This window comes from Homo sapiens, chromosome X (genome assembly GCF_000001405.40).
Source record: "Homo sapiens chromosome X, GRCh38.p14 Primary Assembly".
Lineage (NCBI taxonomy): Eukaryota > Metazoa > Chordata > Mammalia > Primates > Hominidae > Homo > Homo sapiens.
In genome coordinates, this window is record NC_000023.11 from 139,550,563 (window position 1) to 139,563,874 (window position 13,312).

Here is a 13,312-nt window from a genome sequence, read left to right on the forward strand (position 1 = left end):
TCTCTCCCCAGAAAATATATAAAATGCACCTTGGAATCTAGAAGGCCTTTTAGTCTGCAAAAGAAACCTTCTTAATCATAAGCAGCAGAAGTCCCATTTACCAAATTGGAAAGTTAAAGTTACAAAGCATCAATCATAAGACTTCCATTCAGGGATGGCAATTGGGAGTAAGACTTTTTAGTAAAGAAACTAAACACAAAGTCATTAGACTCTGTAAAAGTCTTACCAAATTTGATTCTGGAACACCTATTCTATTTCCGTAAAGATGATGAATTCCGGAGCCAAATGTTCTTTTCATGAAGGATTTGAAAACTGTCCATGAAAATAACGCAATCAACCTTTTAGCTTGAGACTCTATTCACTGATTAGATTTTTTTAAATACTGATGGGCCTGCTTCTCAGAAGTGACAAGGATGGGCCTCAATCTCAATTTTTGTAATACATGTTCCATTTGCCAATGAGAAATATCAGGTTACTAATTTTTCTTCTATTTTTCTAGTGCCATTTCCATGTGGAAGAGTTTCTGTTTCACAAACTTCTAAGCTCACCCGTGCTGAGACTGTTTTTCCTGATGTGGACTATGTAAATTCTACTGAAGCTGAAACCATTTTGGATAACATCACTCAAAGCACCCAATCATTTAATGACTTCACTCGGGTTGTTGGTGGAGAAGATGCCAAACCAGGTCAATTCCCTTGGCAGGTACTTTATACTGATGGTGTGTCAAAACTGGAGCTCAGCTGGCAAGACACAGGCCAGGTGGGAGACTGAGGCTATTTTACTAGACAGACCTATTGGGATGTGAGAAGTATTTAGGCAAGTTTCAGCACTAACCAATGTGAGAAGGCCTCCAGAGATGAGCAGTTGGTGAAAGAGAGGCTCAAAACCAGCTACCATACAGGTCAAGAAGAATTTGGCATTAAGGAAACAGCATAGCAGGATTCCAGACAGGCAACTGGTCAACAACATGAAGGTCTGGAAGAAAGGTCGCAGGTACTCAGGTTCAGGGCACTACTTCAGCTTCAGCCCTTGCAAAAACTGGTGAGAGTTGGAAAGTCTTTAGGCTAAGAAAAATTGGATTATTTAAAAGGGGGTAAAGAAAGGGACTCAAGGAGGAAGGATTAAGGCAAGAACTAGGTTCCAAGAAACAGGGCATGAGAGAGAGTCTTGATCTACCACTATAGTTCTCGTGGTAGCATCAGAATCACCTGGGAACGTAGAAATGCAAATTCTCCTGCTCTACACTAGACCTACCAAATCAGAATATCTAGGGGGTGGGGCCCAGCAGTCTGTGCGCAAACAAGCACTGCAGGTGATTTTGATGCACATTATAGTTTGAAAACTAGGCCAGGTGCAGTGGCTCATGCCAATAATCCCAGCACTTTGGGAGACTGAGACGGGAGGATTGCTTAAACCCAGGAGTTTGAGACCAGCCTGGGCAACACGGCGAAACCCCACCTCTAATTAAAAAAAATACAAAAATTAGCTAGGTGTGATGGCTCCCACCTGTGCTCCCAGCTATTCAGGAGGCTGAGGTGGGAGAATCACCTGAGCCTGGAAAGTCGAGGCTGCAGTGAATTGTGATCACACCACTGCACTTCAGCCTGAGTGACAGAGTAAGACCCTATCTCAAAAAACAGAAAAAGAAAAACACTGGCCCAAAGGAAATGAACTTGTTACAGAAGCCGGGGTTCAAAACACCAAATAATGCACTTGTACCTAGTCCTTCCCGGGTGCTCTGCAGACATTTCTCCAAGCGTAGTCTGCAAACAACCTACATATGTAGAATTACCTATGCACATTTTTCATTTAACAACCAAGAGCTACATTTGTAGCAAAATCTGGGTTGTAACTTAGCCTACAGCTGAAGCCTAAGAGATTCCGTCTGTGAGAAGAAATAACCCACCTCTTTGGCCCCCCTCCCCAGGCAGGAAGCCAGGATGGTCCTTATATAAAGTTGTGCTGTCCAATAGGTAACCACTAGCCACATATGGCTATTTAAATTTAAATTAACTACAATTAAGAGAAATTAAAAATTCAATTCCTCAATTGCACCTGCCAAATTTTAAGCACATAACAACCACATGTGGCTAGTAACTACTGTATTGGAGAGTGCAAGCGGAGATAGAACACTCTATTACTGCAGAAATTTCTATTGGATAGCACTTATAATAGTTTAGTGTAACTTAAAACTCCCTAGTTGCCACAGTCATGATTTAGTAGTAATTTCATGGATTTCTCTACTGAGGTTAGAATCTCTGCCATTAGAGACTGATAAATTTAAAGTTTGCAATTATCAAACTGGTGACAATTTAAGCCAGAATCAGGTAAATGTCCTCAGTTTTAACAGCATTGGAATTTTCTGGGACTAGCTGTGTATCTATCCAGGATTCTTGAGAATGCCTGCCATTTTTCAACATAATGGATGTAAGGTATTACACATATACCTGGGGATGGGGTGGTAGGTATAATTGCACAAGCATTGTGGAGAATGGTATCAAAGAGTGGCAGAACATCACAATCAAGGTTTTCCCTTTCTTTTACCTTTGCTTTTTAAAAAGACAATATTTGCTGGACCTGATCTTATAACTCATAAATGGGACACTGTATGTTCCTTTTTACCTCCTCTGTTTCTACTTAATTGCACCCTATGAGGACTGCTTCCCTTACCTACCATAACCCCTTCCTTCACTCATCCATATCTTTACTCTTCTTCACAACTCTGTAATATTGACCTTCTTTATGAACCTTTCCTGGAACAATCCCTCTTAAGTGCAAGCACTGTTATTATGCCTTCAATGTATTTAATATCCATGTATCTATTCTCTCTAATTTTGTCATTTTGTGTTCTCATGTATTTTCATTCATTATGTGTCCAACTTCCATGGATAACATGGTTACAACAAAAGATCCTACTTTATGACAATTATCTTCCTTGGGTTTGTGGGACATAGAACAGTGCTCAGAGTAGGGGATCCAAGAACCCAGGAGAATATATTAGCTAAGAAGATAACTTCCGTTTTTAAAAGTCCAAGATTCAGGAGATCAAAACCATCCTGGCTAACATAGTGAAACCCCGTCTCTTCCAAAAATACAAAAAATTAGCCCGGCGTGGTGGCAGGCGCCTATAGTCCCAGCTACACGGGAGGCTGAGGCAGGAGAATGGCGTGAACCGGGGAGGCGGAGCTGGCAGTGAGCCGAGATCCCGCCACTGCACTCCAGCCTGGGCGACAGAGCGAGACTCCGTCTCAAAAAAAAAAAAAAAAAAAAAGTCCAAGATTAAAAAAAAAAAAAAAAAAGGATGTCTGCTTTGTGAGTTTAGCATTGTCTCCTTGTCATTCCAGAAATGAAATGGCAAATACATTTAAATCAGAACTAAAAAGGGGAACAGGGTATAAAGGCTCAATTTAGTCACATCATTTCCGTTTCTCACCCACCCCCTTTAAACCAGATGTTTGCCAATGCATTAACAATGCAGATGTTTCCTGAAAGAAAGTTTAGTAACTCAAGCAGACACCTTATTTTCTTTTCAAGCAGAAAAGACTATGAGATGGTGGTTGTGGTTGTTCCGGGAGGGAGAAGATATAAATGATACACATTATTTCAAATCATTTCATGACCTCACTGCACACTTATAGTTATTGTACCTGTTGTCTTTTTGCTGTCAAGCCTAGCTAAGATCATTTGGAATGTTCAAGATCACTCATACATGCATGTGCACACATACACATGCACATATGTTCACTCCCTATTTCATCCACATGAACTAAGATTACTGATGTGTACAGATTCAAAGCACTTTTATTCTTTTCCAAAGGCAAGAAGCTGAGCTACTTTCCAGAATAGTTGTGAAAGACCCTGTCATACTTCTGCATTGTTTCCTCCACACCACCTCCATCCAGTTCCTTATGAATGGTTACTGGTTTTCAAAAATATGAGATAAATTGAGTGTATAAAAGTCATTTTTAGACAAAATGAAACAGGAAATGAAAGAAACCAGAATCTCTCCTCATTTGTGGATGGGCCAGCTCCACCATGTCATGGTTAATCTGCAGGGAGGAAATACTAGATTTGATTGCAGATCAGACTGCAGCAAACCTGCTGTGACTAAGGCATCAAGAGAAAGCAAGCAACAGCTGGGGCTTCAGTGGTGAAAACATTATATATCTAGCTTTGAAATATGAAATACTGTTTAGCAGTGTCACCTAGAAAAGAGTGTTTCAAAATGCTGATGCTTCATAAGAACCTTTCTCTTCAGAGTTGTTTCTTTTATCTTTCAAATTAGCCAGGGTGGGAAATAAAGTGATCACTTGGTGAAGAAATCTCACAAAGAAGAACATAGAGAGTTCACTTTCATCTGGAGTAATGAACAGATTGAACAAACTAGAAATGGTTAGTCTGTTAAAGAAAAGGTGTAGGTGAGCTGTTTGCAAGAGCCACAAGGGAAAGGGGAAGACAACTTCTTTGTGGACTTAAGGGTGAAAGTTGCAAGCAGGCAAGACGATTCTGACCTCCATTAAGAAAGCCCTTTCCAACCAACAACCACTGGGTTGGTTACGCAGGTTGGGCAGCATTGGGAGCAAATGTTGATTGAACAAATGTTTGTCGGAATTGTTGACTTAAAGAGCTGTTCTGTCACTGGGGACAGCAGCGGCTAGATAGCCCCATTCAGGGAGAGGGCATTTGTTCACCTGGCCAGAGATCAGAGCAGGCTAAGGGACTGCTGGGATCCTGTCCAGCTTTGAGACCCTACAGAGCCATGTTCACCTAGCACGTATCCCGTCTGCGGTCACGCTCATTTCTTACCTTATTCCAGGGCTTTCACCTCAGCTTGCCAGGCTGGAGCCAAGGGCCAACGCAGCCGCGCCTTGTTCGCGATGGTAGCTTCCCAGGAGCCCCCTATGGTTCCGGAACGGCGCTGCCGGCCCCATCCTGTTTGCTACCTCCTAAAGCCAAAGGCACTGGCGGGCCGGGCCAGCTTCTAAAGTCGCGCAAGGTTAGAAGGTTCCGGACAGGAACGGCGTGAGGCCAATGGAAGGAGGTACTTCAGTTTCCCTCCAGATGCCCAGCGATGGGCTCAGAGCTCCTTGAGAACTCGGGAAAGGAAGCAGGGTCTCTGAAGAAATACTTCAGGAGTAGAAAGAGGAAGCTAGAGGGTTAAATGCACTACACAGGAACAGAAATGAGTTTTTCTTAGAGTTAGTATATGTCTAGAGGTGTAGTAAACTAAAACAAGTCTTGAATTGCATACCGCCACGTAGGGAAGAAATGAAAACCTTTGAATATTAGTGAAAAAAGGGAAACTGCAACGCCTGTATTACTAGATAGCTTTCATCAACAGCTCAAAACCGACAGATTTAAAGAAGCAACACCGCATTTTGGCTTTCTAAAGCTTTAATTTGGTTTGGATCCCATGCCCATGACCCTGCCAGCTGACAATTCTAAGCATGCGCAAACTGGCCCCAAAAATTCCTCCCACATTTCCGAAGAACTATTTGGCCCTTTATGTGAAGTACCTGGTTTTTCCATTTTCTGTTTTACCATAGGCCTCAGTTCGGTGTGTGGCGTATTTATTCTACATTTAACAATTTGAAGATCATTCTATTAGATTAAAAAAAAAGAATACAATGGAAGCCAAGTGATTAAGCTTTCCTTATGCTTATATTAAGTTGTAGCATATGCATTTACCGATAGTTAACCGTATTAACCTACAGAAAATGTCCAGGGAAATGGTCTATTTCTTATTCTATTTTTGACCTAAAGAAAATCTTTAAAATGTCTTAGCATTTTCCCCAGTCTCCATCCACTTTCCTCAGCTTTGGCCTGAAGCTATCTTTAAAGGTACCCTGTACAGCTCTTGCCCTGTACAGCTAGCTACAGAGATTCAATCCTTTCTGTTCGATTAGGACACATCTCAGTGGCAGATAACATGCAAAGTTATTATATGTATGAACCAGAACTTGTTTTTCCTTAGGGGCCAGGATGTTACACTAAGGTCTTAAGACTATAGTAATATCTTCACTTGAAAAAGCCCTCTATTATTCCTATCTCAGATGATAAAAATTCAATTAAGAGAAATAAGAACGTGACATGTGTAATCGCACCTGGCTCTACAAAGCTAGTCTGGACAGACATTTAAACAATTATCCTCTAAGATTATTTGATGAAATGCATTTCAATGACTAGTTAACCATTAAAAACCAAAGTGAGCATCCCATCTGTTCCCAGTCAAATGACCTAGAGCAAAGGACTAGGCAAACCACATCTGTGGGCATAGCAAGCTGTACATCACAAACAAATGAATTTGCTTTGTATATGAGTGAGAGCAAACACTCTTTATTGTACAACTTGGGTGGGTAAGTAGGGAGAATAATGGTTTTACTGAAATCGCAGGTAACGGTTACGTTGGAGTTAAAGGTTAGGAAGAAAACCAAAGGGTAAGAGCTGTTGTTCTGGGCTGGCATTGTCAATGAAGAGCATAAATTCAGATGTGAATGTATATTTTGTAGAAGCATGTGTGTTGTTGGTTTTTGTGTATGTGTGAGTCTGAAAGAGGGAAAACAGGCTCCCATTAGACTATGACTAACAAAAATGTTTGACAGATTATAACTCAGATGTCTTACTCAGAGCATATGCCTTCCCATTTTCCCCATTATTCCCCAACATGATGTCTTTAAGAACTTGTCCTTGACCGAGCAGACATCTCATACCCCAAATAGCTAATATTTTGATAGCTATGATCCTGAACGGCCAAACATTCCAAAACCAAGTAGTTTGTAATATCTTTAAATGCAAATATATTTTAGGCCTTTTCCTTGGCAAGGATGTTTGGTCAGGGGTTGGCAAAAATAATGCTCTTCAGACTTAAAAGAACACAACCATATTTCTTAGCCATCCACCAGAAAGTAGTAGAAGCTCCAGGAAGCAAGTCTTTGTCAGGAGTCAGACTAGCTACATCATAATCTCTCTGCCCAGGGGCTGTGGATGTCATCCATCCTGGCCTAACTAGCCTACTGAGCTGAGAGATGTCCAATTTCCCCCCAATACACTAACCAGAGGAGAAGGACCGTGATATCATTGCATGTGAATTCTTAATTCCAATTGCTTAAACAAATATGTTCAGTTGTAACTATCAATACCAGTATATAACAGTGTTGGCCAAGTTTTATTGATGCTGACAATCAATTGGAGTTACAGCCAGACACATGGTCTTATGACCGGCGTACTTACGCAGGGCTTTGCACTGAGACAGGTCGTGCATCTGAGGTTTACTGCTTTGCATTTTTGTTTTGTAACTGAAGTCTGATGAGACAGCCAGAGCATGTGCTACCTAGGGACTTGAATCCCTGCAGCCCCATTTCACTTCTCACCACCTTCCGGGGTGGTTTCTCGACCTCCCACTCCCCTACCACCTGGTGCCTTAGCCAGCCCTGGCTCTCCCTCCAAACACCTGCCCAATGAGCACTGCCACCCCATGGTGCCCAGACATGCTCTCCCTCCTCATCCCTACCTAGCTACCATTGCCACTCCCCTCCCCCAGCGGGGACATGGGCATAGGAGCAGGGAGAGTTAAGGTTGGTCAGGTGCACGTGCCCTATGCTATCTTGGAAGGGGGCTTGGCCATGTGGCATCTCTGGACCAAGAATGCGCCACAGCACATTTGGAGGGTGAATGGTGGGGGCACACCCCTTGTCCACCTCTATTTCAGGCATGGAACACATCCTGGCATGAAAGTTGCAGTCCCTTGGGAATCACCTCTCCACCTTGATTGCCACAGTAGGCCAGTGACAAGGGAAGATTGACACATCATCCCCTGCTGGGGCCCAGTGTCCTGTGGCTGGCAGGCAGGGGATCCTAAGGACATGTGGGTGTTAAATTGTAGGGTGCACTTCCTGGGCACCTTTGAGGGTCTGCACTGCCCCAGCAAATATCCCCATGCTAGAAGGAGCAAAATATTAAATGGCAAATTTTAAAAATGTAACAAGATGGGTTGCAAAAGAGACTACAGAGGAAAGCAAAAGTTTTGTATTTTAGTATCTTCCATGGCACTTTTCTTCCTAGCTTTTGAACAAGGGGCCCCACATTTTTATTTCTCACTGAGCCCCACAAAGTATGTAGCCATTCCTGCCCGGAGTGAGGACTTTTAAAACATAAAGATTATCAAGTCTTGGAAATTCTGATTCAGTAGATATATAACAGGTCTCAAACTTAATTATGTAAAGAATATTCTGGAGAGCTTCCTTTTACCCAGTCCCACCCACCAAATATTCTGATAAATTAAGCTTCGATTAGCCCCCAGATCTGCATTTTATAAGGATCCCCAGATGATTCTACTGCAATTGGTCCACAGACCATGCCTGGACCGAATTTGGGTGCTTAGGAGCACAAATTCTGGAGCCGGGCAGACTTGAGTTTGCTTCCTAGCTTTACCAACTGATCTCAGGGGAGTTAATGTTTACCTCTAAACTTTAGCTCATGCATCTATAAATAAATATATTAATATCATGTCATAAGGATATTATGTTGTATTAAATGTCTTTAAAACACCACAATGATTAGCCCAAAGTAAACACTCAATAAATGTTCAAAAATTTAGGAAAATTGTTAAGACTGGGTTGTATGCACACTGGTGTTTATTATATTATGTAGTTTTTTCTGTATTTTTACAACATTTCAGAATTAAAAGCAACAGCTAGAAAAAGAGGGAAATGGCCGGGTGCAGTGGCTCACGCCTGTAATCCCAGCACTTTGGGAGGCCAAGGCGGGCGGATCACGAGGTTGAGAGATCGAGACCATCCTGGCCAACATGGTGAAACCCCATCTCTACTAAAAATACAAAAATTAACTGGGCATGGTGGCATGCGCCTGTAGTCCCAGGAGAATTGCTTGAACCTGGGAGGCGGAGGTTGCAGTGAGCCAAGATCTCACCACTGCTCTCCAGCCTGGTGACAGGGCAAGACTCCGTCAAAAAAAAAAAAGAGAGGGAGAGCCAGAGTATGAAAAAGGAAGTCAGAGCCCTTTAATGAGTCAGCTTTGTAGGTCTCCAGGTAGGAGGCTAGTGCTTCAGTGTCTAGGACATAGTAGGTGTTCAGTAAATTAAATTCAGGACAAAAAGAACATGCCCCAAGGACCATCTGATATCCACTTAAAGTGATGGACTACCTCGTTTCCCTTGTTTATGAATGGGTTCATGCCTAAGACTGTGTGCACTTTAATACAAGGGCAGTCGTTCAGAACTAGTCAGGTCCTGAAAAGGATTTACCAAATGTTGAGTGTGCCCTCTAGTGTTCACACTTCCCAGCTTTCTTCCTATAAAGGTGGATCAAGGCACTTGCTTACAACTGGAACTGAAATCCTCCAAGTCGATCTAGACATTGAGATGGAGAAAATATTCATTGTCGACTGTAATTATGCAACGAATATCCAGTTGAGATAATGGACTTGCCTCTTATCTAATAATACCCAGGCTCAATGCGTCACTGCTTTGTCCACTTTGCCCAAAATTCAAGCACAGCTAAGTTGATATTTTAGGACAAAGGCAGCTTACTATCCAGCCAGAGGGGAGTAGAATATGGTTAAGAGAGAGTGGAAAGAATGAATGAGCCCTGCTATTCCTCACTGCCTGGATGGCTATAAGCACAGCCCTTATGGAGGCCTTAGGTCTTGCTTCATAATATTCCAGTTTGAAAAGGGTTTGAAAAGACCTCCTAGAAAAATCAGTAGTTTTTCTCTTTTGAGTAACATGTAGCAAAAAAAATTTCATCATGTAGGTACAGGGAACACCCTAATAACTATTAATCTCAAGGAGTCAAGCCAGTGTGTTTCCTAATGTATCTGCTGTATCCCCATGAAGCAAATTTTGCCATCAGAGAAACTGACTCATGGGGAAAAAATCCAAGGACCTCAAATCACCAAAAGAAGCCATTCCTCAGATTTGCCTAAGCTTAAGCTTCCCTGTCTCTCATTGTGTGTTGCTTTCAATGCAGTTACATAAATGGCTTTTTTGTTTATGCACCAAAAACACTAATTCATCTGCAAAGCTCACATTTCCAGAAACATTCCATTTCTGCCAGCACCTAGAAGCCAATATTTTGCCTATTCCTGTAACCAGCACACATATTTATTTTTTTCTAGATCAAATGTATTATGCAGTAAGAGTCTTAATTTTGTTTTCACAGGTTGTTTTGAATGGTAAAGTTGATGCATTCTGTGGAGGCTCTATCGTTAATGAAAAATGGATTGTAACTGCTGCCCACTGTGTTGAAACTGGTGTTAAAATTACAGTTGTCGCAGGTAAATACACAGAAAGAATAATAATCTGCAGCACCACTAGCTCTTTAATATGATTGGTACACCATATTTTACTAAGGTCTAATAAAATTGTTGTTGAATAAATTGGGCTAAAGGCAGAAGGGTCATAATTTCAGAACCCACGTCGCACCGTCCTCCAAGCATCCATAGTTCTTTTGATATACCCCTATTATCACTCATTTCAGTGAGGTACAATTAGTTCTTGATGTAGCCATTTCCATACCAGAAGGCCTTCCCAAAAATCAGTGTCATGTCACCGATCCTTTTATCTCTGGTGCTTGGCACAACCTGTAGCAGGTCCTCAGAAAACAAACATTTGAATTAATGGCCAAATGAGTTTGTGCTCAAAAAAGGGGTGAGGATACTTGAAATTTGGAAAATCTAGGATAATTCATGACTAGTGGATTCATTATCACCAATGAAAGGCTTATAACAGCATGAGTGAACAGAACCATCTCTATGATAGTCCTGAATGGCTTTTTGGTCTGAAAAATATGCATTGGCTCTCATTACATTTAACCAAAATTATCACAATATAAGAATGAGATCTTTAACATTGCCAATTAGGTCAGTGGTCCCAAGTAGTCACTTAGAAAATCTGTGTATGTGAAATACTGTTTGTGACTTAAAATGAAATTTATTTTTAATAGGTGAACATAATATTGAGGAGACAGAACATACAGAGCAAAAGCGAAATGTGATTCGAATTATTCCTCACCACAACTACAATGCAGCTATTAATAAGTACAACCATGACATTGCCCTTCTGGAACTGGACGAACCCTTAGTGCTAAACAGCTACGTTACACCTATTTGCATTGCTGACAAGGAATACACGAACATCTTCCTCAAATTTGGATCTGGCTATGTAAGTGGCTGGGGAAGAGTCTTCCACAAAGGGAGATCAGCTTTAGTTCTTCAGTACCTTAGAGTTCCACTTGTTGACCGAGCCACATGTCTTCGATCTACAAAGTTCACCATCTATAACAACATGTTCTGTGCTGGCTTCCATGAAGGAGGTAGAGATTCATGTCAAGGAGATAGTGGGGGACCCCATGTTACTGAAGTGGAAGGGACCAGTTTCTTAACTGGAATTATTAGCTGGGGTGAAGAGTGTGCAATGAAAGGCAAATATGGAATATATACCAAGGTATCCCGGTATGTCAACTGGATTAAGGAAAAAACAAAGCTCACTTAATGAAAGATGGATTTCCAAGGTTAATTCATTGGAATTGAAAATTAACAGGGCCTCTCACTAACTAATCACTTTCCCATCTTTTGTTAGATTTGAATATATACATTCTATGATCATTGCTTTTTCTCTTTACAGGGGAGAATTTCATATTTTACCTGAGCAAATTGATTAGAAAATGGAACCACTAGAGGAATATAATGTGTTAGGAAATTACAGTCATTTCTAAGGGCCCAGCCCTTGACAAAATTGTGAAGTTAAATTCTCCACTCTGTCCATCAGATACTATGGTTCTCCACTATGGCAACTAACTCACTCAATTTTCCCTCCTTAGCAGCATTCCATCTTCCCGATCTTCTTTGCTTCTCCAACCAAAACATCAATGTTTATTAGTTCTGTATACAGTACAGGATCTTTGGTCTACTCTATCACAAGGCCAGTACCACACTCATGAAGAAAGAACACAGGAGTAGCTGAGAGGCTAAAACTCATCAAAAACACTACTCCTTTTCCTCTACCCTATTCCTCAATCTTTTACCTTTTCCAAATCCCAATCCCCAAATCAGTTTTTCTCTTTCTTACTCCCTCTCTCCCTTTTACCCTCCATGGTCGTTAAAGGAGAGATGGGGAGCATCATTCTGTTATACTTCTGTACACAGTTATACATGTCTATCAAACCCAGACTTGCTTCCGTAGTGGAGACTTGCTTTTCAGAACATAGGGATGAAGTAAGGTGCCTGAAAAGTTTGGGGGAAAAGTTTCTTTCAGAGAGTTAAGTTATTTTATATATATAATATATATATAAAATATATAATATACAATATAAATATATAGTGTGTGTGTATGCGTGTGTGTAGACACACACGCATACACACATATAATGGAAGCAATAAGCCATTCTAAGAGCTTGTATGGTTATGGAGGTCTGACTAGGCATGATTTCACGAAGGCAAGATTGGCATATCATTGTAACTAAAAAAGCTGACATTGACCCAGACATATTGTACTCTTTCTAAAAATAATAATAATAATGCTAACAGAAAGAAGAGAACCGTTCGTTTGCAATCTACAGCTAGTAGAGACTTTGAGGAAGAATTCAACAGTGTGTCTTCAGCAGTGTTCAGAGCCAAGCAAGAAGTTGAAGTTGCCTAGACCAGAGGACATAAGTATCATGTCTCCTTTAACTAGCATACCCCGAAGTGGAGAAGGGTGCAGCAGGCTCAAAGGCATAAGTCATTCCAATCAGCCAACTAAGTTGTCCTTTTCTGGTTTCGTGTTCACCATGGAACATTTTGATTATAGTTAATCCTTCTATCTTGAATCTTCTAGAGAGTTGCTGACCAACTGACGTATGTTTCCCTTTGTGAATTAATAAACTGGTGTTCTGGTTCATACCTTGGCTTTTTGTGGATTCCATTGATGTGAATCAGTCACCCTGTATTTGATGATGCATGGGACTACTGACAAAATCACTCTGACCCCGCCAAGCTGCTGCCTTCTCCTGCCCCAACCTCACCCCCAGCCAGGCCTCACTCTTGCTAGTTCCTTTAGTTCTTTTAGTCAATATATTTTTGTCTTCGCATATAAGTATAAATAAACATATTTTTAAATTTCTTGGCTGGGCCCAGTGGCTCACGCCTATAATCCCAGCACTTCTGGAGGCCAAGGTGGGCGGATCACCTGAGGTTAGGAGTTTCAGGCCAGCCTGGCCAACATGGTGAAACCCTGTCTCTACTAAAAATAGAACAATTAGCTGGGCTTGGTAATGTGCACCTATAATCCCAGCTACTGGGGAGGCTGAGGCAGGAG

The 13,312-nt window shown here is 41.4% G+C and overlaps 1 protein-coding gene across 3 annotated transcripts in view; it reads left to right on the plus strand.

The window, feature by feature from the left end:
- F9 (coagulation factor IX) overlaps nt 1-12,897 on the plus strand; it is a 32,721-nt gene extending 19,824 nt beyond the window's left edge. For all 3 annotated transcript variants that reach the window (NM_000133.4, XM_005262397.5, NM_001313913.2), the window contains 3 exons: nt 500-702; nt 10,179-10,293; nt 10,962-12,897. In NM_000133.4, coding sequence (NP_000124.1) covers nt 500-702; nt 10,179-10,293; nt 10,962-11,509 — 866 coding nt within the window. In that variant the 3' untranslated portion in view covers nt 11,510-12,897. The remainder of the gene's footprint in view (nt 1-499; nt 703-10,178; nt 10,294-10,961) is intronic.